The sequence below is a fragment of the Homo sapiens genome, chromosome 9 (genome assembly GCF_000001405.40).
Source record: "Homo sapiens chromosome 9, GRCh38.p14 Primary Assembly".
NCBI classification, from domain to species: domain Eukaryota; kingdom Metazoa; phylum Chordata; class Mammalia; order Primates; family Hominidae; genus Homo; species Homo sapiens.
In genome coordinates this window covers 121,351,760-121,377,672 of record NC_000009.12, presented here as the reverse complement: position 1 = coordinate 121,377,672, position 25,913 = coordinate 121,351,760, and the positions used below count along the sequence as shown (strand labels likewise).

The following is a 25,913-nucleotide window of genomic DNA, read 5'->3' as shown; positions in this document are numbered from 1 at the left end:
TGTTTCCTCTGCTTCTGTCTTCTGAAAGATTATAGAGCATTGGTACAATATTTTTCTTAAATATTTGGTAGGATTTGCCAATGAGCCCATCTGGACTTGGTGCTTTCTGTTCTAGAAATTATCATTATTAATTCAATTATTTAATATATATAAGCCTATTTAGATTGTCCATTATATAATATTTTGATAAGTCCAATATGTTCATTCCACTCCCATTGTTAAGCTCTTTGAGCAGCTTCATAGTTATCTTTTAAGTTTAGGCTATGCCTTTTAATCCACTGTCATTTTTCAACACCACTGCCTGCACTGTTACTACTTACATTTACCCAAAAGTGTCAAGCTCTGACACACGCCTATGAATTTACAAGGACCTTTCTGTATTCCTGAAGCATCCTATTGTAAGCCATGTTTATCCTACTAAACTCCTGTTTCCCTGGAAGTCTTTCCTGATGTCTCCAAGCAGTCAAGCTGCCCCATTCAACTTGTACAAGAGAAAAACAAAAATTATGTTTTAAAACTACAAAGAGGAAAGTCCAAACTTTTAAATAGTTATTTAAATTTTTCAATTTCATTCAAGATATACAATGAAATAAACTATAATATGCTGATTTGGTTGTGGATTAAGTCCTGTCATTTATAAATTTACTATCTAAGATGGACAGACACATTCTGACACAGCACATCAACAATGATAAAATACTGAACAAAAAGATAACATTTCAATATAAGACAAGGATTAAAATGTACTAAAATTGAAGGGAAACTTCAGTACCCAATTAGGTATATGCTTACATGTGTTCATATCTAAAAAGTGCATCAGGACAAGTTTGTGTCTTTTTGTCTCTTTTTATTTATTCTGAATAATTAGGAGTTCAAATTCAGGAATTACACAGTGTATGTAGGGCAAACAATATCTCCATCACTGACTTGTACCTGACCAAGATCTGTGAAATTTTGGGTAAATGACTAAACTCAGTCTCAGTCTCCTCATGGGATAAAAGTACATCGTAACTGGTGGTGACAGTAAATGATGGTAACGATATTTCTTGAATTATTAAAAGTAATGTCTTATATAGACCGCTCTTTCCTCCCACATATGGTATTTGAAACAATATTTTTTTTTTTACTATGAATCCATAGTGCTCTGTGAGTAAGAACCTAACTGTTAAATAGAGGACCCCTTCTTCAACACAGTTTCCCCTTTATTCATTTTTAAAACTTTAACAAAAGTAGTAGAATATGGTGAACACTAGATGGAGCATCATTCCAAGTAGAATAATCCTTCCTAACCAAGAACTTTTTAGTATAGCTTAAAATTAAATTATGTCTTGTATATTTCAAAATAGCGAAAAGAGAATAATTCAAATGTTTCTAACATAAATAAAAAACAAACAAGGTGATAGATATCCCAATTACACTGATTTGACCTTTACAAATTATACAAATGTATTTAATAATCACATGTGCCCTGAAAATTTATACCTCTATTATATGTCAATTAAAAAGTAAAACTTTCAAAATAATAAGTCATACCTAGAAAAGTAATCACTCATAATTACAGGTCACTGGACACATTTTGCAAGTAAACATAAATGGCTTTGGATATCTCAGGGATGTGGATAGGAGAACACAGACAACACAAAGATGTGGATACACAGTAATCATATGTGATATTATGGGCTGTGTTCCCCCAAAATTCACATGTTGAAGTCCTAACACCATATATCTCAGCATGTGACTATCTTGGGATAAAGGATCTTTAAAGAGGTAATTAAGTTAAAATGAAGTCATTAGGATGGACTCTAATTGAATATGACTGGTATCCTTCTAAGAAGAAGAAATTTGGACACGGACACACAAACAAAAAACAATGTGAAGACACAGGAAGAAGACATTTATCTACAAGTCAAAGACAGAGGCCTGGAACAGATCCTTCCTTCATGGTCCTTAGGAGAAACCAACCCTGCTAACATCTTGTTCTTGCACTTCTAGCCTCTAGAAGTGTAAAAAAAAAAAAAAAAAAAATTTAATTCCTGTTGTTTAAGCTACCCAGTCTGTCATATTTTGTTATGGAAACCCTAGCAAGCTAATGCATATGGAAAGGAATACTAGAATGTGAGATCCACGAGGACAGGAATTTTGGTCTTTTTTGGTCCCTGATGTGGCCCAAACACCTGGAACAATGCCTGGCACATAGTTGGTATGCAATAAATATTTGCTAAGTGAGCTAATAAAAAAGCAGATTAATAAGATTCTTTTCATAGATAACTCCAATAAATAGCACTAATATTACAGTAATGCTTTTTATTTTCATAAGTCCTGAGGATCCGGACTCCCGGTATCTTACCTAGTGCTGTGATGTAATTAGTCTGCTGCCACAGCCCAAGTGTATAAAATCCTCTGGTGAATCTCTTGTGATGATTCAAATCCTGGAGTAATTTCCTGAAAAAGAGAAGAGCTAAGAAGACAAAAACCTTGTTGTAATGCAATAAGTGTGAATTAATACATATTAAAAAAAAACAGATCAAATTTGTTAGTCCCATCCTAGAGAAAATGTCACAGACAGATGTAATTTGATGGTATTGCTGTTCTCTCAAGGTATTTAGTTAGCTGACTTCCATAAAAGCATCGAAAACATCCTGGATTAGCAATTTAAAGGAAAAAAAAAAGACTTTTCTATTGTTCTTATTAAAGCACTGCTATGGACACAGGAAAAAGGCTAATTAAATTTCCTTCTGTCTTATTCAATTACGGATTCATGGTGCATATCTGTCTTTAACCTGATCTCCAAGTCTTAATGTTATCACTATTACCATCAATCAATACTTAATTTGGTACCTTGAATATGCTAGGCAAATAACAGCAAAATAAAACATAAAGGAAATACGGAACGGCCAGGCGTGGTGGCTCACGCCAGTAATCCCAGCACTTTGGGAGGCCAAGGCAGGTGGATCACGAGGTTAGGAGATCGAGACCATCCTGGCTAACACAGTGAAACCCCGTCTCTACTAAAAATACAAAAAATTAGCCAGGCGTGGTGGCAGGTGCCTGTAGTCCCAGCTACTCGGGAGGCTGAGGCCGAAGAATTGCTTGAACCCAGGAGGCAGAGGTTGCAGTGAGTCGAGATCATGCCATTGCACTCCAGCCTGGGTGACAGAGCAACATTCCATCTAAAAAATAAAAAATAAAAATAAAAAATAAAGGAAATATGGAACATCTACTCTGATTTTCAAACTATATATAAGTATCCTTCAAATAACAACTAGAGGAAAAATTCACCAAAATTGTAATAGCAGTTTTGTTAGAGGTGATAAGAAATTCTCTCTTCAAAGTACTCACAATTTTATATGTCTCCATTTAAAAAGCATAATGTTATTTATTTATTTATTTTATTTTATTTTTTGAGATGGAATCTCACTCTGTTGCCTAAGCTGGAGTGCAGTGGCATGATCTCCGCTCACTGCAACCTCCGCCTCCCGGGTTCAAGCAATTCTCCTGCCTCAGCCTCCCAAGTAGCTGGGATTACAAGCATGCGCCACCATGCCCGGCTAATTTTTTGTATTTTCAGTAGAGGCGGGGTTTTACCATGTTGCCCAGGCTGGTCTCAAACTCCTGACCTCAAGTGATCTGCCTACCTCAGCCTCCCAAAGTTCTGGGATACAGGCATGAGCCACTGCGCCTGGCCATAAGGTTCTTTAAAAAAAATCATTCTAACTTCTAATCATTACTGGGAGAAAATTTAAGATTAAAAATCCTCCAAAAGGAGAAAGGGATGTACTAATATTTGTTTTTTTCTAATCTTAAGAGTGAGAAATTGATTTTTAAAGTACATTTAATCAATACATTTATAACAGAATATGCACGAGAAAGCCAGAATACACCAATTTCATGGGCAAGTGAGAGTAAGCATATTTAAATAAAAAATTGGAAACTCTATTCTAAAAGCAGTTTAAAAATCAAGTCAAAGCTTGTTCTTAGTTTAGGGCCAGGAATTAGTTTTAGAACTGATGCAATCTGAAACCAGAGCCAAGAAGTGTTTACCAAAGTCTTTACCCCAAAGGGAGACACTTCTAATTCTCCAGAAGGGACACTACACTGTTAAGATTGTCTTGAGACTTGGGCTTAGGTAACTGATAGGGGTACACATATTAAATTCATTTTGAAATACCATTTTCCTTTCCAACAAAAATGAAACCTAAATCCTTTTTCACAATATGCAATTTGTAATCAAGGCCTCCTCTACCGAAGGGTTTAATTAGTTTCTTGTGTATTTGCTCCTCTTTCCTGGGAATGACAGGATAAACGGGAAGTTTATGTCTCCAGGGCTTATTCGTTACAGAATGGAAAAATGAAGCTATGGACTTTCTCAAGGATGATTTAGAGAGAAGGGATCATTAAATTACTGTACTCCCCTCCTTATCTTCTCCAGAAGGCTAACAAAGTGACTGCACAAGCTGCACTCCATCCCAGGAATACAAACAGTTCTTGGCCAGTATTTGACTAAAAGTCAACTGCAAGCTCTGAGTCAGGTTTTGATCACACACTGGAGCCTGTTCCTGCAAGCAAAGATCATCTTAATGCCTCTCTTAACACCTGTTGTGTCTGCTCCCGTTTCCGTCCTGATAGTCACAAAGCTCCAGAGCTGTAAAATCAGAGAGAAAGTCTACCATTTCATATGACCTAAGCACCACAAGGTGTTGGGTAGTACACAGCCAAATATTGAGCACATTAAGAAAGAAGTGCTCCTCCTGAGGGAGATCTTTGTGGTAATGGAATAGTTCTGTATCAATTACTGTGGTTATATCAATCTACACATGTTAAAATGGCACAGAACTATAAATACATTTTGTGCCACTGTCAATTTCCTGGTTTTGATACTCTAGTTAAGTAAGACGTAACTATTGGGGGAAACTGGGTAAAGGGGACATGTGACCTCTCTGTACTGTTGTTGCAAATTCCTGTGAATCTGTACTTATTTCAAAATCGAATGTTTTTATAAGTGCACCTTGTGTACATTAACATACTTTGAACATTGTGCAATAGAACAAGTCTAATGCAAACACAGCCTACTTTCCAAATATGAGGTCTTCAGCCACACCCCAAGAGAAGGCCTGAGGTTGGGAATGCCCTTGCACATGCTTTTCCCTCTACCTGGGATACCCTTTCCCACCTCCTGCACCGCTTATTCCCCTTCCCCAGGCTGGCTCCTTCTCATTTCTCAGGCGACATCTCAAAGCCCCTTCCTTACAGAGGTGTTCCCCTGTCCTAACCTTTGCTGTTCTCCGAATATTCCACTCCTTTCACAGCTTCCTTCACCATGTGTAATGATTCAATTACTTGTTTGTGGCCCATCTCCCAACTAGAGTATAAGGTAAACTCCACGAGGCCCTTAGCACACTCCCTGCCACATGGAAGATGCTCCAAGAAGATTTTGTTTGAATAAATGACCCCACCGACTGAATGGACTCCCTTGTGGCCAAGGGGACTCCAGAAAACTTTAAAACTGAGTTCCCAGCCAATGACAGGACAGAAGGTCAGACTCGCCTCATTATAACTTCATCGTATTGGAGTTTAGACACAACAGCTGACCAGCATTAACGTTAAAACACAGATCATAAGACTGACAGAACAGACTGTTTGTGACAATAAGATACCAAATTATAAACAAATTATACCTAAGGTCATGCCAGGCAAAGGTTAAGGCACACATCCCTTCACTTAGAGAATAAACTGTGTTCTAACTGCCACAAGGTTGTTCTCTTTCTCTAGCAGCTTAACAAGCACTGGCCTCGAGATAAGCAATATTAAAACAATTTGCAGCTCCACCAGATGTGGCCTAATGGAACCCCTATTCCACCAGCCATCATTACAGCTTTAATTGGACAAGAGGCTGATTTCAGTAACTTTCTCCTCATAGGAAAACTACCGACCATGGACTGGCTCTGGCTAGTTTACACAGACTGCATACTTGCACACCTTCCTGTCCTGAAAAGACCTTTTGACGCATGGGGTCTAACTGTAATACATGTATTGTTATTATTTTTTAGAGTCCATCAGGCTGGAGTGCAGTGATCTGATCATACATCACTGCAGCCTCCAACTCTTGGGCTCAAGTGATCCTCCTGCCCCAGCCTCCTGACTAGTTGGGACCGCAAGCACACACCACCCCACCTGGCTATTTTTTTTTTACTTTTTGTAGAGATGGGGACGTCACCATGCAGGCCAGGCATTTAACATTTAATTGGTAACTCTTCACTCCAAAATGAACATGGGTTGTATGTTACATGCATGTTTGCTCAATGGGCATGCGTCAGGACCACCCTCATGAATATTCATAGCTCCTCCTGTCACCTGCTGAATATGCATGTCTACCCAAGCTGTTCAGCATAAAGCCGCTACTCCAACCCCTCCTCCAACGAAATGCCTGTCTCTGGTCCTGGCCATTCTCCAGCCTGCGGAATGGCCACCTTGCAGGCTGTAACCCCTTACAAGAAATAAAGTCTCCTCTCCTGTTTTTTTGTTTTTTGTTTTGTTTTTTTGAGACGGAGTCTCGCTCTGTCACCCAGGCCATCTCGGCTCACTGCAACCTCTGCCTCCCAAGTTCAAGCGATTCTCCTGCCTCAGCCTCCCAAGTAGCTGGGATTACAGGCGCGCGCCACACGCCCGGCTAATTTTTGTATTTTTAGCAGAGACGGGGTTTCACCATGTTGGCCAAGCTGGTCTCGAACTTCTAACCTCAGATGATCTACCCGCCTCGGCCTTCCAACGTGCTGGGATTACAGGCGTGAGCCACCGCGCCCGGCCTCCTCTCCTTTTCCAAATTTATACATTTTGATTTTCTTAACACACCTCACTCGAGTTCGTTCACTTCGGCTGCGGCGTGATCTGCCGGCCCTCTCAGCTCAGGCTGACCTCAGCGCCCTCACTTCGGCCACTTCTGTGTCCCTCAGTCTTCTCCCCTCAACTCGGACCTCGCGCCCTCATGACAGGGCGCCATTTTCTTCCCTCTAACTCCTCAGCCCAGAGGAGGCGCCTTGGTCCCGTACCTCTGCCCGGCAAGGCGACTTTTCTTCACTTGCACTTTTGCCTCGGGTCATCCTCTGCTGCTACCTCCCCACTATCCTCACCATCTGCTCCACGTCCCGTGGCTTCCGCCCTCCCTTCCGGTGCAGGGCCCCGGCCTCATACCCACAGCCTTGGGGGCTCTCGCCCCTCAGGCCACGCCCCTCAGGCCACGCCCCTCAGCCCACAGAACTAGCGGGAAGTGACTGCGAAGCAGTCGCGCCGTGGAGGGACAGGAGGGCGGGGATTGGGAGGTGGGTCCTCCTCGATCCTGGGCGTTGATTGGCCAACTCTCACGAGGGCGGGACCTCGATTGGGGGCGGGGCGGCAATCTGGGTCTTGTGCCTCTGGCTCCTCAGGGCATTCCCGGCGGCTCCGGGTTTGGCAACGAGGACGGGGGAGTGCGACTGCGTCTCGGGCAGCATGGCCGAGAAGCGGCACACACGGGACTCCGAAGCCCAGCGGCTCCCCGACTCCTTCAAGGGTGAGTCCCGCGTCCCCTGACCCTCCCCCGTGGACCGAGCCCCCGCCCGCAGCGTGCGCTCCGAGGTCTGACAGCCGGGCTCCTGGCCAGTCTCCGCTGCTTCGGGCTGGGCGAGATCTCAAAGCCGCGGCTCCTCCCTAGTAAACTGAGCATCACGAACCCTGTTTGGCAGACTGAGGTCACGATGGAGGGGTGGCGGGCTGCCAACGGCACGTTTCCCATCGCACGGGCCCTGGTTATCTCGCGGCCGCCAGATGCCAAGCCCCATGCCAGGGCTGCACTATCTCGTGTCACGCACGCGGACTAGGAAACGCAGAGGGAACTGGCAGCCAGCGAGGCGGGGACCGGGACCCCACATCTCACCCTTTGCCCACTCCCCTTCTTTCCCGACTCACTCTCTCGAAGGCCGCCTCCTCCACCCAGCCCTGGCCTGGCCCCAGGGTGAACCCCCTCCTCCCCCAATCCCACCTCCCGAAACTTAGACCGATTTGCAGAAGGAAGAAGTCTCTCTGGCTTTCTTCTTACCTCTCTTTCTAGCTCCACTTTCTGCCCCATTTTTCCCCCTCCGCTTTCCTCTGCGTTTTGGAGAACTCTCCTTCCCGGCTTTTGTTCCTCGCCAGGAACCCTGAGTTCTCCCACCCTCACCCCCACCCTCCCTTCCCAGTCTTCAAGGCAGGAGCTGTAAGTGGCTCAGTCTCGTTCCCCTGTGGAGGAACTGGTACTCTGGGGAGGGGGTTCCAATAAAGAGAGATGGTGGACCTCTCAGGAGTCCTGGTACCCACTCAGGAGCTCTTAGTGATCCAGAGGAATTACAGTGTTTCTAAAGATGGAATTTCAGGCAGGATGGCAGTGAAAGCAATTTAGAGGGCTGGGTGGTCCTTTCCAGGACCCCTCAAAGAACATGACATTGGAGTCATCTATTCTGATTATTTGTAAAGCCAGCTTTATCCACAGCATCTTAGCTATAAGTTCCATTTCCCTTGTCCAGGGATCCCTGTGTTCAGTTCCTTCCCAGGAGCATCAAAGGAATTACAGAAATCTTTATTCCTCACTTTTTGTCTACTAATAACGTTGCAGGTTATCTTCCCAAATGGAGAGTGTAACAGGGAGGAGTTGATGAGAATAATGGCAACCACAACAACAAAAATTGAAACTAAATAGGTCAGGCTCCGTATCACTTTTTTTTTTTTTTTTGAGACGGAGTTTCGCTTTTCTTGCCCAGGCTGGAGTGTGATCTCCGCTCACTGCAACCTCCGCCTCCCGAGTTCAAGTGATTCTCCTGCCTCATCCTCCCAAGTAGCTGGGATTACAGGCGTGCACCACCATGCCCAGCTGATTTTGTATTTTTTGTAGATACAGGGTTTCACCATGTTGGTCAGGCTGGTCTCAAACTCCTGACCTCAAGTGATCCACACGCCTCGGCCTCCCAAAGTGCTGGGATTACAGGCATGAGCCACCGCGACCCCCCCAGTGCCACGTATTTTATGTATATATTATTTTATTGAATCTTCACAACAGATGATGTGGTAGGTATTCTTATCCCCATATTATACTTGATGAAACTGATAGTCAAAGAAGTTAAATTACTTAAAGTCACTTAGTTTGTATTTAAATCTAGATTTGACTGATTCTAAAACTTGAATAGGGAAAAAATGGGTGGTAACTGCCTCTTCGATAGTTAGTTGTCTTTTCCTAGATAAAAAGGTGGGTATTAGCATGCATTCCTCAATACCCTGACCTCCTGGTGGGAAACTGCAGTGGCAAATCTGCTTGGAGTTCTTTGAGAATCAACATGATCTTTGTACTTAATGTTTATTTACAGACAAGTGGTCATAGATGAGTTTTTAACTTCCAGTTTTTTTCCTTGGTTCTACACTTAACTACTGTTTAGACAGAAATCTTTCAAGATCTAATGAAAACCACCACTTCCTCTCAAAAATTAGACATACAAATAAAATTTTGCATAGTCTGTGTTTTTTTAATGTAAACCTAACAAATTTGACGCTACTAGGAAAGGTATTGCTGGAATTTATTAAATAGAGGTTATTGAATGCTTTCCCTGTGCCAAAAGACAGTTTAAGTGCTTTACAAACATTATCTAATTGCATTCTGTAACAGCTCTACAAGGAAAAAGTCATTATTCACCATTTCACAATAAGGATACTGCGGCTCACATGGCAAAATCACAGTTTCTAAAATTTTCAGCCCTGTTTCAAACCCCGGCTATCTGATTTTCTGAATCATTTTCCCTATCCCAGAGATGGATACCAAAATGTAGAACCTTGTCTAACTTCAGTACTTTACTTAAGTTGAGAGACAATAAACAAAAAAAGCCTGGAGGAACACAGCTTCAGTGATGACTTCCAGAAGGCTGCTTGTGAAAGAAGCAGTGGAATTTTAAAAGCCTAAACTCTGCCTCTTTGTCTTTACTGAGAATTAGTCCTAGGTAGGTAAATAGCACCAGGCCTAGGGCAAGACTAGTTTTTCTTAAAGGCGATGCATTCACTTTGTAATGAAATAATGCAAGTAATTGCAAAGAATGTATCACTGTAATTAAGAGCCATGTCAACAAATAAAACCCTTTGGGAGACTGATTGTTTATTTCAGTTGTTATAGCCAATCAGATTGGAGAGAACTTTGTAACTTCTTCAATAATTAATCTGAGTTATTCCATCAGTGGTCATAAATTAACTTATGGAAGACCAAGTCTACAAAACTGGCATATTTATTCATGATTAAATAGATTTTTGGTGCCATTTGATGGTATAAATTTTACCTAGTAAAAGACAGTCACTGATTCCTAGTCATCTTTGAGGGAAAAAAAAGATGTTGATAAAGTGATACAGATGGAATTCAAAATCAGTTTTTTTAAGAAGGCATGGAAAAGCAATTTCCTGAAAACTATTGTAACTACAAAAAAAGTGAATACCCTTTCCCTGCGTCTGCCTGGTATCCTGTGCATATCTCTATCATAATGTTTATTACATAACATATTTATCAGTTTGACTCATCTGTCCCCTCCCCTCCCATAATTAAACTACACTTTTTCTTTTTGAGACCGGGTCTTGCTCTGTTGCCCAGGCTGGAGTGCAATGGTGCAGTCATAGCTCACTGTAGCCTCAAGTGATCCTCCCACCTCAGCCCCTCGAGTAGCTGGGACTACAGGTATGCACCACCACACCCAGCTAATTTTTTTTTTTTTTTTAACTCAGGGTCTCACTATGTTGCCCAGGCTGGTCTCGAACTCCTGGACTCAAGCGATCCCACTTTACCCTCCCAGAGTGCTGGGACAACAGGCATGAGCTACCAAGCCTGGCCTTTAGACCACACTTTTGAAAATAGAGATTGTGTCCTTCTTCACTGTAGTAGCCCAGTATCAAGTACATAGTAGGTATACAAAAACATTTGTTCAAAGAAAAAGGAAGCAGGCAGGGAGATAAAAATCCCCCTGGAGTAAATAACATTGTTAAGTGTTTGCCTTAGCCTTATGTTGGTGGAGCAGTTTTTCTGTTTACCATTTATTTTATTAAGTTTGTTATAACTTAAGCTGTTGATTTTAGGGCATGGCCATTATGTTTATTATATATTATTACAGATAGACTATTTGTCTGGGTTTATATTATCAATAAAAGGATTATAATTGCCAAGATAATATATTGTCCTTAATAAGAAATCTCCTTTTATTTATTAAAGCATGGAAAGAGAAGTTTAGAGGTCATGGTTAGTAGAAAGAAGGAAGTGTGTGTCAATAGATAATTTTCTATTGACACACACTTGTTGATAATTAAAATAGATCATTTCAATTAAAATAATTTTCTATTGACACACACTTGTTGCTACATTCTTTTTTAATCTTTCTCTGTCTGCTGGGACTACTAAAGAAACTTGAACTCCAAGCATTTGGCCTCACATTTCAGAAGATTATCCTTGAAGATACAACCAATAAAGTCCTAAAGTCTCAGACAATGAAAACTATACTGAACTTGTGGTCCAGTTAAAGTGAGCACTATGGTAAGGTAGTAGAATATAGTGAAATGAGAGTGGAATTTATAATTAAAAGATTTAGGTTGAGATCACCCTACCATCACTTAAGAGATTTGTATGAAGGATGGTCCAAGAACATTTAGAACTCTGACTTACTGCCCCAAGTGTAGTCTGTTTCTCCTCCAGAGATAGAGTCCCCAAGCAGATTGTTAGTTGATATTTTCTCCATAGTGCCCAGATCCCAAAAGGTAATTCACTTCATAAAAAGTTTCTTCCTCTAAACTTATCAATAGTGATCTTAAAGTTGTGGTAATAATAATGGCTACTGCTTGTTGAATACTTCCTAAGTGTCAAGCCCTTTACATATTTTCTCGTTTTATCTCCACAACAACTGAGTGAAATAAATACTGTTCTTTTCCCCATTTTACTGATAAGAAAATTTAGTGGTAGATTTGGAATCTAACACCAAAAATGCAAGCTTTTAGCCACTGCTTAGCTGTTAATCACAGTGAAGAACTGAGAACTTTATCATCTAGTTTTCTTCTGCTTCCATTTCCCATTTTTAAATGAAAACGATGTTACCCTCCAAAGACTTATATGAGAAAAACTTAATTGTGAATAATTTTAAGATGTCCAAGTAAAAGAGCTGGGAAAAAAAAAAAAAACCTAAAAAGTGGGAGGGTTTTTGTTCTGTTTTCATGTATTTCAGGCCTAGATGAAATTTAATTAACTTAATACCCATTATGAAATTGTTTTTCTCTCCAATTTTCCTGAACATAAATGTTTTGGTGCTTCCAGACATGGGCCATGTTCAGCCCATTCTTCTGCTTTCCTGAATTCTCTAACGTCATGGTTGGAAAAGGTCTGATTTTTTTTTTAAAAAGAAAATACTTGAGGAAAGCAGTTGACAACTGCTTGGGCAGGAGATGGTTCTGTACTGTATCCCAGGATCCTGTCTGCTGTTTCAGTTTGTCTTATGTGAGAGGCAGTCTTTTTTTTTTCTTTTCCCCAAAAAAACAACACACTCAACTCATCCAGCAACTATTTAACAAATGTTTTTTGAGTACCTGTTATATACACTAAGTGTCTTCCATATTAGCTTATTTACTCATCACACTAACCTGAGGAGGTACTCTTATTAGCCCTATGTTTCAATGGGTAGACTGAGGCACAGTTGAATAATAAGGTACTTTCTCAAGATCACACAGCTAGTAAGTGGCAGAGCCATCTGTGAACCTATTATGCTATACTGTTTTCATAAAACCAAAATCTCATGAAGACACACAACTGAATAGAATAATTACAAGTGTGATAAATGTTGTTTTAAAAGGGTAAAGGGCTATTGCAGCATTATTTTAGACTGAGAGGTCCAAATTTAAAATTATTGCTGTTGCTCTCACCTATTTTTTTCCTCTTGTATGGCCTGAAACATTTGAATGCAGGAAAACTACAGAAAATCCTTAAAATATTTAGGAAATAAGACATTTATGCTTATTTACTTTCCTTATTCTTTTTGAGCTAAGCAAAGAATAACTGTTATTGCAAATCTTTCTTAGAAGTATTAGTCCATTTGTTTTCCTTAGTATTTCACAGTAAACACATTTTAAGCTTTGTAATTCAAACCACATAGTGCTTCATCAGTATCAGTTCTTTTGGTCTAGCATTTATAACTATAGATGGATTTTAATAGGGAGGAAAAGTTACAGTCTTCACTCATGGTTTTTAACTTGATACCATCTGGCCTGTAGCTACTCTAGCCCCAAGAATAATTTCTTCTCTAGAGATTTAAGGATAAGGGCATTCGAACAACTAAGCCGTGCCTAATTAAAATACTAATTTGAAAGGCAGGCTATAATGTGTGTGTGCTTGTTTGCTTTGAAATCTTCTGCCTTAAATGAATTGCAAGTTTTGATCTCTAATGAAACACTATCATTTTTTAACATACGTTTATCGAGACGCTACCATGTGGTAAACTCTGCCTCTTTCTCACTTCTAGCTTTTTTAATCTATCTCTCTTTGTAGGATTCTGTCTTCATTTTTGTTTCTCCCATTTTTACTCCTTCTATTTCTCTTATTTTCCTTCGCTTCTGCTATGTCCTTCCCTTCTTTGTCTTTTTCTCCTAAAATTCCAGTCATTTGAAAAACTTAGTTATAGTAAAAATTTGATTAATTGAAGAGGAATTTATATTCACTTACTCTACCTGCCCTTTTGCTTATTTTCACCAGGAGTTTTTGTTTATCAGGCCTTATAAAGGCCTTGCTTCAAAATAAGCAAAAGGGAGAAACTGAGAAGCTGGGAAATGTACCCTTATTTGAATAGCTGGAAGAAAGATCAAATGCATTATTTAATTTATGCAAGTCTTCCTCCTCAAATAAATAGTTGGCTGACATAAAACAGGAACAGCGTGTAACAGCCCATTGTCCAAATCTAGCTGACTCTGTTTCTGTATGTCCCACAAGTTATGAAATAGCTCTTATATTTTTAAATGATTTTAAAAAGGCAAAAGAATACTTTTTCATTACACATGAAAATTATGTGAAATTCAGATTTATGTCCATAAGTTTTATTGGAACAGCTGTGCTGTTTATGTAGGTACTATCTATGGCTTCTTTTGCACTGCAAAAGTAGAGTTGAGTAGTTGCAACAGACTGCAAAGCCCAAAATATTTAGTTCCTGGTTCTTTACAGGAAAAGTTTGCCAATCCTGACAAAGAATCACTGATGAAGAATCATAGTGGCCAAAAGTAACACTTAATCCTGAATACATATGTTTTTAAGAAGAAAGTTCAAAAATTGCCAAGACTTTTCAATTTGGCCTACTGTTACCCCTAAAAAGTGCTGCTGCAACTGAATAGCATGTGTTTTTGAGACTAAACTTCCAGCCTTTCTGTCTTGCCCCATCCAGGCAGGACTGCTCTCATCAATTTACAACATGAAGTGTTTTATTTGCACTCTGTGAAGGCAGAAGGAAAAAAGTGTCCGTTAAAAAGTGGCAGTTTAGGTATTTCAGTAATTCCTTAGCCCATCCTTTCTTATTGTGTAGGATAATGCTTATGACTCACAGTCAGATTCTCAGCAGAGGAAATCCAGTTATCTGTTGAACTTTACAATAATAAAATCTCAGTGATGAGTGGATTTATTACTCCACATGATTTCCAGTAGTGCTAAGGTTAATAGATCTGAAAGTAAATCAGCTGATGGGGAACGGGGACAACTACAGCCCTCTGGACTAATCAGCCTGTGTTGTCATCTTGGAAAGAATGTTTAACTGCCTTTCCAGAAACTTACCCAACAAAAATTACTACACAACAAATTTCATTTGTTTCATGGTTTGCTTGGTTTTCTTTTGTTTCTTCCTACAAGGTCTTTAGCCTTATTACTTTAGAACTTCAGGAGGCATATTTTAACACCTACTTCACAGATTTTTGTAAACATTATAAATACTCATGTATGTAAGGAGGAGCTACATGTGGCTAACATGTCATAGGAATTCATAAATGGTAGTTATTAGGAGTAGTAACAAAAGATACCTTCAGAATGAGAGAATTTTAAGAGTTGTATAATTTCATCTTTTCAGAAAAATTAACTTACACAGGAAATAAGCAGGTACAGAAACACTGCTAAATATATATTCAATGCAGCAGTTTCTAAGTGAGAAATTTGGACACAACAGATTTCATCATATAAAATGGAATTAATTAATTAATCTTTAATAATGATAAAGAATATGTGCTGATATGAAAAAATGTTCATAACATGGATGGGAGGGAGAAGATTTTAAATCACTGTGTATACCATTCTTTCATTATTGAAAAAATACAGGCTAGAAAAGGTTTAAAAGACGTATATCAAGGCAAAAAACATCCAGAGATAAAGTATAGATAATGTTTCTGTTTGTTGAGCTATCATTTCTAATTTTTATAGTAACTTTTGCTTTTAAAGTAAAAAAGCAATTTTAGAAAATGTATGTGAGTTTCCTGGAGGTAAGCCCAACTTGAATGTTCAATACAAAAATTCAAATGTACAGGCTTATGTCCATATTCAGACCCTTCTTTGATTAGTTAAAAGTTTATTCTACTGCCATTTTGGTAATAAAAGAAAAAAAAATACTCTAAACCAGGAGTCCCCAACTCCCAGGCCACAGACGGATCAGATCAGCAACATTAGATTCTCATAAGAGCACAAACCCTATTGTGAACTGCACATATGAGGGATCTAGGTTGTGTATTCCTTATGAGAACCTAATGTCTGATGATCTGTGGTGGAACAGTTTCATCCCAAAACCATGTTCCCCAACCCTTTCCTGTGGAAAAATTGTCTTCCACGAAACTGGTCCCTGGTGCCAAAAAGGTTGGGGACCATTGCTCTAAACTATGGCAAAGTAGTATTTACAACCAAGTATCATAGGATCCCTAATTTTTAGGAACATTCTCAACCAGCAAAATACCCACAAGTGGCCGGGTGCATTGGCTCACGCCTGTAATCCCAGCACTTTGGGAGGCCGAGGCCGGAGGATCACGAGGTCAGGAGATCAAGACCATCCTGGCTAACACGGTGAAACTCCGTCTCTACTAAAAATACAAAAAATTAGCCAGGCATGGTGGTGGGCACCTGTAGTCCCAGCTACTGGGGAGGCTGAGGCAAGAGAATGGCGTGAACCCAGGGGGCAGAGCTTGCAGTGAGCCGAGATCTCGCCACTGCACTCCAGCCTGGGCGACAGAGTGAGATTACATCTAAAAAAAAAAAAAAAAAAAAAAAAAAAGTCCACAAGTGTATTAACCAAAATATCACTATTTGTCCCTTTCCCCATAAAACTGGTAGGAAGGATTCAGTCCTAAAGTAATACATGGGAAACTTGAAGGAAATGAATTTCCTGAGATTTTAGTGAGTGAGAATTTCTTTTCTCTTATTCCCAGAAGTGGTAGATGACTAAGGGTTCATTTATAAGCCTGCTAGAGTTTAAGCCTCACCTCTGAGCTATGCATTTATAGCACAACATGCTATAAATAGACACAGCTGGAATTAAGAGGGCTTCCTCTGTAAAAACATCAGATTTCAGTCTCAGAACTCTAGTGATGCATTCCCAACTTAGATACTGTGTACCTTTTTGAGGGGTAACCAGGTGGGGAAGAATTTTGAGAGGTGAAGGTAGGATACTTTCATTTTAAAGTCATTAGAAAAATATGAAAGTGCCATTTTCCCAGTGTATACACTGATTATTTCTAGCCAAGCATTTGATATGTGAAAGACCAAATCCAGTTTTCAAAATGTGTACTTAATTCCTTGTTCCTGGTGATTTGCAATCCCATATACACATCTGGGGTTCTCAAAAACACAATGTGACATGGGAACTGACACAAAAAAAACTGGGCTGAACTTTTTGGCTTGTCCTCATGTAGATCATAAATGAACTTTTTGAGAGTCTTTGAATGTCCCAGCCTAGCCAGACTGGGGGCAGGTATGAAGCAAATGGCAAATTAAATTGTTTAAGAGGCTTTTGATCAAAAAGGGTAAATGCTATTTTCCCATTTTTCTTCATGAAGATACAAACACTTAAGTAAAATAGAAGGATTACAGAAAACTATCATCTACATTTACTGATCATTTTATCTGTATTCTACAAGGCCAGCCTAATAATCTTTACTTTCCACCGGTAAGGAAACTAAGGTTCAAAGAGGTAAAGATCATGCAACTAAGAAGTATCAGAAGTGAAATTCAAACATAGTTACTCCTCGTTCTCAGGGAATCTCAGTGTAATAAGGGATATAAATGCACAAGAAATTAAAATATTAGATTAAAAAATAATAAAAGATTAAAATCCTACATTGGAAGGTCAATTAAAAATAAATAAAAAATAAAAGATTAGACAAGATATAAGTGCCATAAGATAATTTTCAAAAAATGCTATCGAGATTCAAAGGAAAGAAAAAGACATATCTAGCTAGAAAACTTGCTGAGAAGTATTTTATTTTATATCTATTCTACTATGCAGGATACTGTGCTAGACATTGAGAATATAAAAGTGAATAAGCAACATCCCTGCCCTCAGGGAGTTTTTACTCTAGTATGTTATGGGAGACTTGGACAGTATTTGAAAAGGCACCAAATGCTGTCAGATAAATAAGTATTTGTGGTCAGTCTGTCCTTGTTTGGAATTCATTTCACCCTGGAAACCTAGACCTGTGTCTGTCACAGAGCCTTGAAACTATCTTTTGCTATAAATAGGCATGGCTGGCATTAAGAGGACTTCCTCTGTAAAAATATCAGATTTCATTCTCACAACTCCAGCCATGCTTTTCAGTTTGGATACTGTCTTGAGAAAGTGCTCAACCACGAAAACATTCTTAATGAGGATTTTTTTTATTGAGGGGTGAATTTGGAACACGGGCTTTGGAGTAAGATGACCCATATTTGAGTCCCAGGTCTTCCATTGTGTGACTTTGGGAAAGTTAAATGTTGCTTTAGGTAACTCATTTGTAAAAGGGATTTAAAAATACCCTCACAGGGCTGTTGTAAGAGTTAAATGAGATACATGTCTAAAGTAACTTTAAAAAATGCCTGGGGTATACACAACCCCTCAAAACAGCCACTGTTGCTATGATCAGTCATGGTAATACTAGATAAAGCTTTCTTCACAAACAGTACTATGGCCCTGCTTTGAATATTCTCTCAATGAATATGTCTGTACCCCCTAAATTATAACTTAGAAACCTCCAGGATTACTTTAGATCATTTTATTTAAGTATACATGAAGACATTTACCTCACACTATAACACAGGATCAGAAAACTACCAAGTCACATACAACCCAAGTACTCACTATATTTCTGATTTTTCATCCTATGTTTTAGAGCACTTGACCTGGGTGCCAACATGTGTCTCTCTTCTCCCATGTTCCCAGCCTGAACACTCTGCTTATTTCTTGGCCTCCTATTTATTCCAAGCCCCATCTTACTGCCATTTTGCCCTTTCTTCTGAGCAGTAACATGTGCCTGGCATACCTTTTCTCCCCTCTGTCATTAAAATAGCTCCTGAAAATACAGCAGAAGCCTTCCAAGTGGTTGATAAGAAAACCTACTATATCCCTTGGCCTTCTCAGTCCCTATGTCCTCTACAGAAAGCAAAAGCAAACTAAAAATGAGGATGACACTTGATACAGAAAATAGGAACACAACACTGAGGTGATGGGAGTTCCCAGGATGATAGTGAAAGCAATTGCAGAATGATAGCCGTGCACACCAGATGAAGGAAGTCCACACAAGGCTCTGAGAGAGAATTCTTCCAGAAGATAAAATTGATAGTATACCTGACCTCTTTGAGAGGAAATTTAGGCAATTGATTTAAGGTTGGATCAATAAGTACGTTGAAAACCGAACAAAGGGAAAAAATAAGACAGTAATTCCAGAAAAAACAAAAATAGTACAGGAAGAGAAAACCAGTGATACCTCACTACTTGGCTTAGCTTTAAATTGCACTTACAAATTCATAATATAAAATCTCATATTGATCTAAATGAAGTTATGATGTAATTATATTGGAAAGCTGGGTATAAGTATGTGGTGGGGGTAACGGGGAGGAAAGAGAACTAAATCTTTTTCTGTAGTAGAAAGTTAATAGTCCTCAAAACTGAAAAAGCAAGAAGTAACAAAACAAGCATTTCCTTCCTTCCTTCCTTCCTTTTCTTTCTTTCTTTCTTTCCTCACTTTGTTGTCCAGGCTGGGGTACATCACAGCTCACTGCAGCCACGAACCCCCAGGCTCAAGCAATCCCCCTATTTCAGTCTCCTCAGTAGCTGGGACTACAGGTGTGTGCCACCACACACAGCTAATTTTTTTTAAGAAGTTTCAAGTAGAGATGGGAGTCTCACTAGGTTGCCCATGCTGGTCTCAAACTCCTGAGCTCAAGCAATCCTCCCATCTCGGCCTCCCAAAGTGCTGGGATTACAGGCGTGAGCCACCATGCCTGGCAGAAGCATATTATTATTATTATTTTTTTTTTTTTTAAAGTAGAGACAGAGTCTCCCTATGTTGCCCAAGCTAGTCTCAAACCCCTGGGCTCAAGGGATCCTCCCTCCTCAGCCTCCCAAAGTGCTGGGATTACAGGTGTGACCCCTGCACCCAGCTGCAAAGCGTATTATTTAGAAATATGGAGGTAGATATCAAAATGGTCAAAATAGCAAATGTTTTTGAGGAGGAGGAAATTGGAAGAGGTGAGCATGGGAATGCCCTTTTTTTGTACTAATCATATAGAATGGTTTGACTTTTTAAACTTTATGCAAGTGTAACTTCAAAAACACAAATGCATAACCACGAAGGCCAAAAAAGAAGGTGAAAGAGAATAGCTACAGGGAAGAAAAATAGGTTACACATTTTATTTATTTATTTATTTTTAAAAATATGATTTAAGGCCGGGCGCAGTGGCTTATGCCTGTAATCCCAGCACTTTGGAAGGCCATGGTGGGCAGATCACTTGACGTCAGGAGTTCGAGGCCAGCCTGGCCAACATGGTGAAACCCCATCTGTACTAAATACAAAAAGTAGCCGGGTGTGGTGGCAGGTGGCTGTAATCCCAGCTACTCAGGAGATTGAGACGGGAGAATCGCATGATCCCAGGAGGTGGAGGTTGCAGTGAGGTGAGACTGTGCTGCTGCACTCCAGCCTGGGCAACAGAGCAAGACTCTGTCTCAAAAAATAAATAAATAAATATATATATATATATCATTTAAAAATATGGTGTGTACACTAGGAAAATTTTCAAAGAATATACCAAAATACCTCTGAATTTAAAGTAATTTTTCCCTCCTTTGTTATACTTCTGTGAATTTTTTGCATTATTACCTTTGTAATCAGACGGAAAAGCTGTTGCATATTACAGGAACAGGAAACAATTAGAAATGTGAGAGGAAAGCCGTGTACAAAGATGTTCACTACAACACTGTTTATAGCACTAAGAAATCAAACAACCTGTGTAATCAGGAAGTGGGCAATAAATGATGCTGCATAAACCTAGTGAAATATTTTACAGGTGTAATTTTTAAAAAGAGGCTCTAAACAACTTTATACTCATATCATATGGTTTTCACCTTTATTCGTACTGTACTCCTAGCTAAAATGCTCTAATGCCTTTTCCCTCTTTCCTTTTTCTTTTCTTTTCTTTTCTTTTGACAGATTCTTCCTCTGTTGCCCAGGCTGGAGTGCAGTGGTACAATCTTGGCTCACTGCAACCTCCACCTCCTGGGTTCATGCAATTCTCCTGCCTCAGCCTTCCCAGTAGCTGGGATTACAGGCACTCACCACAACGCCTAGCTAATTTTTGTATTTTTAGTAGAGACGGGGTTTTATCATGTTGATCAGGCTGGTCTTGAACTCTTGACCTCAAGTGATCCACCTGTCTCGGCCTCCCAAAGTGCTGGGATTACAGGCGTGAGCCACGACGCCCAGCCTCCACTTTCTTTTCGTCGATATTTTCTTACTATTACATCCTTCAGGAAACCCTCTGACAGCCACCTGAATCACCTCCCCGCCCCATTCCTTTCTCACCTCCATCCTAACTGCGTGAGTTAACTCATTCTGTGTCTTCAAAATATTCTGAACAGATACTCTATATCTGTACTTACCACCTAATATTATAATTATGTGTTTGTCTGACTTTCCCACTAAACTTTAACCCTGAAAGCTGGGATTGGGTCTTACTCATTGTTATCATTTCAGTACAAAGCAGAGGGCCTAATAAATAGTAGATGCTTAATAAATGTTTGCTGAATAAAGTAATGAGTAATGTGGAAATATACTTGTGTTATGACATCACATAGATAAGGGAAAGTAGTACTTACACTTCAGGGCTGTATGAGGATTAGATGGGGAAATTCATGTAAAACAGCTGGTGTAGTGCCAAGCACATAGGTATTCAGCGAATGGTAAGGATGAAGATGGTGGTGATTATGCTAGTAACAGTTGTGAGAGTTGTATATTTTTTGTTTTCAACAGACAGCCCCAGTAAGGGCCTTGGACCTTGCGGATGGATTTTGGTGGCGTTCTCATTCTTATTCACCGTTATAACTTTCCCAATCTCAATATGGATGTGCATAAAGGTAAAGAACATTTCATTCACTTCTGGGAAGGGGTCAACTCCTACCTCCATAAACCTACTTCGTGTGTGCCTGTGTGTATGTGAGAAAGAAACAGACTGTCTCTCTCTCTTATAATTCTTATTTCTTCATCTTTCTTTGGAAAATTTATTCTTCTACCCACCTATTAAAATGGAACCTTAAAACTTCTTTTCAGCCATTGCCCTTCCCCGTGGGCTAAAGTAAGTTTCACCATCAAAAATTTCCTGGGGCCAGGGATGTGAGATGGTTCTGAGAGAACAAGTTCTTCAGAGTTAGGATGATAGGGTTTGACTGCTGGCTTTACTGTTTATTGTGTGACCTTTGCTGTTTCCTCACCTGTAAAATGGGAGAAAGTAACAGTACCTACTTCATAGGAGTGTTGCGAGGATTAAATGAATTATGTGTCTAAATGTACTTATCACAATGCCTGGCACGTCATAAATACCCTCAGTGCTCGTTATTTTTTCTACAAAGTTGTTAATACTTTGATATATGACTATTATTTACATATTTCTAAGAAGATAAAATATGCTCCAAGCATTTTCAGATCAATTTATTCTTAAGGGAATCAGAAGAAAAACTGTGAAGACTTCAGCTTTTTGTGTTTCTGAATTAACAATGCATGAGTAATTTTTTTTTTTTTTTTTGAGCCAGAGCCTTGCTCTGTCGCCCAGGCTGGAGTGCAGTGGCGCGATCTCGGCTCACTGCAACCTCCGCCTCCCAGGTTCAAGCGATTCTTCTGCCTCAGCCTCCCGTGTAGCTGGGATTATTATTATTATTATTATTTTTTTTTTTTTTTTTTTGAGACGGAGTCACCTTGTGGCCCAGGCTGGAGTGCAGTGGTGCGATCTCGGTTCAAGTGATTCTCCTGTCTCATCCTCCCTTGTAGCTTGGATTATAGGCACCCACCACCATACCCGGATAATTTTTGTATTTTTAGTAGAAACAGGGTTTCACCATGTTGGCCAGGCTGGTCTTGAACTCCTAACCTCCGTGATCTGCCCACCTCGGCCTTCCAAAATGCTGAAATTACAGGCGTGAGCCACCGTGCCTGGCCTGCATGAGTAACTGAATAACAATGTTAACAGCTGAGGAGTGAGGTTATGGATTTGTTTCTGTATACTATTCTGTCCTTCCTAAATTTATACAGTGAATATCTATTGCTTTTGTAATCAGTAAGAAAATAATAAATAAGCTTTGAGAAGGTAAACATTGGACATGTGATTTATAGATATGATCTGGTTCTAAAGAAAAAAGATGAGGCATCTAATCTGTTTAGAGCAGAAATATATATTTAAGAAGCCATGCATGTATATATTTGTACTCTTCATGTTAAATTATTATTCATGTTTTTATTCTAGATTATAAAAGAGTATGAAAGAGCCATCATCTTTAGATTGGGTCGCATTTTACAAGGAGGAGCCAAAGGACCTGGTCAGTACTGGGATTCTAGATTGTTTATCTGAAAACTAAAGTTCTTTTTATTTTTTTTATTTTTAGGTAGTTGTTTTTTTAAAGACAGGGTTTCATTCCGTCGCCCAGGCTGGAGTACAGTGGCATGCTCATGTCTCACTGCAGCCTTGAACTCCTGACCTCAAGCAATCATCCCACCCCAGCTTCCCAAAGCACTAGGATTACAGACGTGAGCCACCGTGCCCAGTCTAAAATTTTTTTATTGACGTGATTTCCCTTATGAGGGCCTCTTCTACTCTGTCTTAGATAAGAGTTCATGTAGCAGGAGTTGTATAACAATAGCAGTGGTTCTAGCCAATCTTTTGTTACCCTTTCCTTCCTACCCTTCCCCTCCCCTTCCCATTTGAGCTGATAAGATTACCACCTAGGCCAAGAACAGTACAGCTATACAAGTTTGAGCATGAGAATCTCTACCAAAGAAAGACTTTCAGTCATTCATTTGGCAAACTTCAATTAAGCTCCTACTGTGTTCCAGGTTCTGGGAATTCAAGGGAGACTAAAACACAGTCCCTACCCTCAAGGATCTTCCTATCTAGTGGTAGGAACCAACAAGGAAACAGATAGCTACAATCCTATGTGATAAGTATTATGATCAAGTACTCACAGAGAGCTGTGAGAAAAGAGAAAACCAGAGAAGTGTTACTGATCTGAACTAGTCGTAGGCTGAGTCAAGGCTTTCTGGAAGTTACATCTTGACTGAGTCTTGAGGTCTGAAAAGGTGTTAACCAACAGGAGGTGTTTGCGGCGGAAATAGCAACATACACAAAGCAACAAAGAGGAGAGTATTGCAGATTCAAGAAACTGCAAGTAGATCAGTCCAGCAAGAGTGCAGGGTGTGAAGAGAGAGGAAGTGGCTGAAGAGGGGAACAAAGGCGGGTTATGCAGGACCATGCGTGGGGGAGGGTTTGTATTTTAGGGGGGATTGCTCGGCTTGCAGCTTAGGAAATAGATTATAGGAGAGAAACTACAAAAAATAGAAAGATGGCCTGGGAAACGATTGCATTGGTCCCAGTGGGGCGGTGGGGAGAAGAGTGATAGCAACAGTAGATTAAGGAAATGAACTCCACAGACCTTAGTGGAGACAGTCAAATGTGGGAAGTAAGCAAGAGGAATCAAAGTTATCATTCCTGGCTTCTGGCTCATTCACGAAGATGAACTGGTGACTTTTCAGTTCACTAGGTTGATTTTCTTAAAACTGAATGGAGAAGTGAACTGATTAGGTTGCTGGTGTCTGTATAATGTGTGTATCTTTGTTGCAGGTTTGTTTTTTATTCTGCCATGCACTGACAGCTTCATCAAAGTGGACATGAGAACTATTTCATTTGATATTCCTCCTCAGGAGGTAAGGTTTTCTTTGAATAACTGAGGTATCATATGTGAAAGTGCTTTACAATGAGGGACAGAATAGTTAGAGTGTAGGCTTTATTTATTTATTTATTTTAAATTTTTGTTTGTTTGTTTGTTTGTTTTAATTGGAATCTTGCTCTGTCACCCAGGCTGAAGTGCAGTAGTGTGATCTCAGCTCACTGCAACCTCCGCCGCCTGGGTTCAAGTGATTCTCGTGCCTCAGCCTCCCGAGTAGCTGAGACTATAGATGTGCGCCACCACGCCCGGCTAATTTTTTTGTATTTTTAGTAGACACGGGATTTTGCCATGTTGGCCAGGCTGGTCTCGAACTCCTGACCTCAGGTGATCCGTTCTGGCCTCCTAAAGTGCTGGGATTACAGGCATGAGCCACCGTTCCCTGCCAGAGCACAGGCTTTAGACCTTGACTGCCTTCAGCATTTCTAGCTCAGTGACCTTAAGCAAGTTCTTTAACTTTTCTGTGCCTCAGTTTCCTCATCCAGAAAATAGACATTTGTAATAGTAAGAACTACTGTATAAGGTGGTTCTGAGAAGTGAGATATATGTGCCAAGTGCTTAGAGCAATGGCTGACAAATAGTAAGTGCTATATAAGTTCTTACTGTTACTATTACAGTTGGCCCTTTGCATGCATGGGTTTTGCATACAGGGATTCAGCCAACCGCAGACTGAAAATATTAGGAAAAAACTCCACAAAGTTCCAAAAAGCAAAACTTGAATTTGCCATGCATCAAGCATGGCATTGAATCCACATGAATAAAGTGATGTGTAGGTATTGTATTGGATAATAGAAGTAATCTAGAGATGATTTAAAGTGTACAGGAAAATGTACATAGATTATACGGTTGGCTCCATGGATCAAAAATATTTAGGGAAAAAAGCAATTGACAATGATACAATAATACAAATTTTTAAAAACGGTGTAGTATAGCAACTATTTATGTAGTATTTACATTGTGTTAAGTATTATAAGTACTTCAGAAAGGATTTAATGTATAAAGGAGGATGTGCATAAGTTATATGCAAATATTGTGCCACTGTATATAAGAGACTTGAGCATCCTTGGATTTTGGTATCCTCTGAGGGTCCTAGAATCAATCTCCCACAGATACCGAGGAATGATTATTACAAAACATAGTGTAATGCTAATGTAAGTATAATAATATCATCATTGTTATTACTATCAACATTTTTACTACCACATTTCTCTTCTATGGGTTTCTGATAGAAAACCCTATTAGTTCATTATTTTTTTTCTTAAGGTTTTATTCTAGATAAATTGGTTAGAAACCAAAGAATTAGAAACTGCTTGTTGGGCATTTTAGATAAAACATAATATTTTATACTAGTGATTATTTTGTGCCTTTTCAAACTACTTCACAAGTATTATCATAGATGAAACTCATGGCAGAATCCCTAGAAAGTATATAGTTGCAGTG

General features: G+C 39.7%; 1 protein-coding gene and 1 long non-coding RNA gene across 16 annotated transcripts in view, besides 3 other annotated features; one reads left to right on the top strand and one right to left on the bottom strand.

The window, feature by feature from the left end:
- Positions 1-7,780, bottom strand: part of LOC102723324 (uncharacterized) — a 93,479-nt gene extending 85,699 nt beyond the window's left edge. For 4 of the 11 annotated variants that reach the window (NR_187160.1, NR_187159.1, NR_187158.1 and 1 more), the window contains exons 1-2: positions 7,707-7,780; positions 2,348-2,442 (exon numbers count right to left, since the gene is read on the bottom strand). This is a non-coding gene — a long non-coding RNA (uncharacterized LOC102723324). Of the gene's footprint in view, positions 1-2,347; positions 2,459-6,849; positions 7,159-7,706 lie in introns of those variants that run through there. The other 7 variants (NR_187153.1, NR_187152.1, NR_187150.1 and 4 more) reach the window with 4 other exon arrangements.
- Positions 6,458-7,418: an enhancer, noted in NCBI's record as "H3K27ac-H3K4me1 hESC enhancer chr9:124132533-124133493 (GRCh37/hg19 assembly coordinates)". NCBI's record gives its function as "activates a minimal SCP1, AML or CMV promoter by ChIP-STARR-seq in primed H9 embryonic stem cells {active_cell/tissue: H9 hESC(primed)}" and the evidence as "EXISTENCE:reporter gene assay evidence [ECO:0000049][PMID:30033119]".
- Positions 6,909-6,998: an enhancer, noted in NCBI's record as "active region_28923". NCBI's record gives its function as "activates an Ori minimal core promoter by ATAC-STARR-seq in GM12878 lymphoblastoid cells {active_cell/tissue: GM12878}" and the evidence as "EXISTENCE:reporter gene assay evidence [ECO:0000049][PMID:35858748]".
- The window catches only part of STOM (stomatin), a 31,264-nt gene continuing 12,773 nt past the window's right edge, over positions 7,423-25,913 (top strand). For 3 of the 5 annotated variants that reach the window (NM_001270527.2, NM_001270526.2, NM_004099.6), the window contains exons 1-4: positions 7,423-7,546; positions 21,517-21,620; positions 23,000-23,072; positions 24,371-24,453. In NM_001270527.2, the coding sequence (NP_001257456.1) occupies positions 7,486-7,546; positions 21,517-21,620; positions 23,000-23,072; positions 24,371-24,453 (321 nt within the window). In that variant the 5' untranslated portion in view covers positions 7,423-7,485. Of the gene's footprint in view, positions 7,547-11,427; positions 11,558-21,516; positions 21,621-22,999; positions 23,073-24,370; positions 24,454-25,913 lie in introns of all 5 variants that reach the window. The other 2 variants (NR_073037.2, NM_198194.3) reach the window with 2 other exon arrangements.
- Positions 23,451-23,670: an enhancer, noted in NCBI's record as "active region_28922". NCBI's record gives its function as "activates an Ori minimal core promoter by ATAC-STARR-seq in GM12878 lymphoblastoid cells {active_cell/tissue: GM12878}" and the evidence as "EXISTENCE:reporter gene assay evidence [ECO:0000049][PMID:35858748]".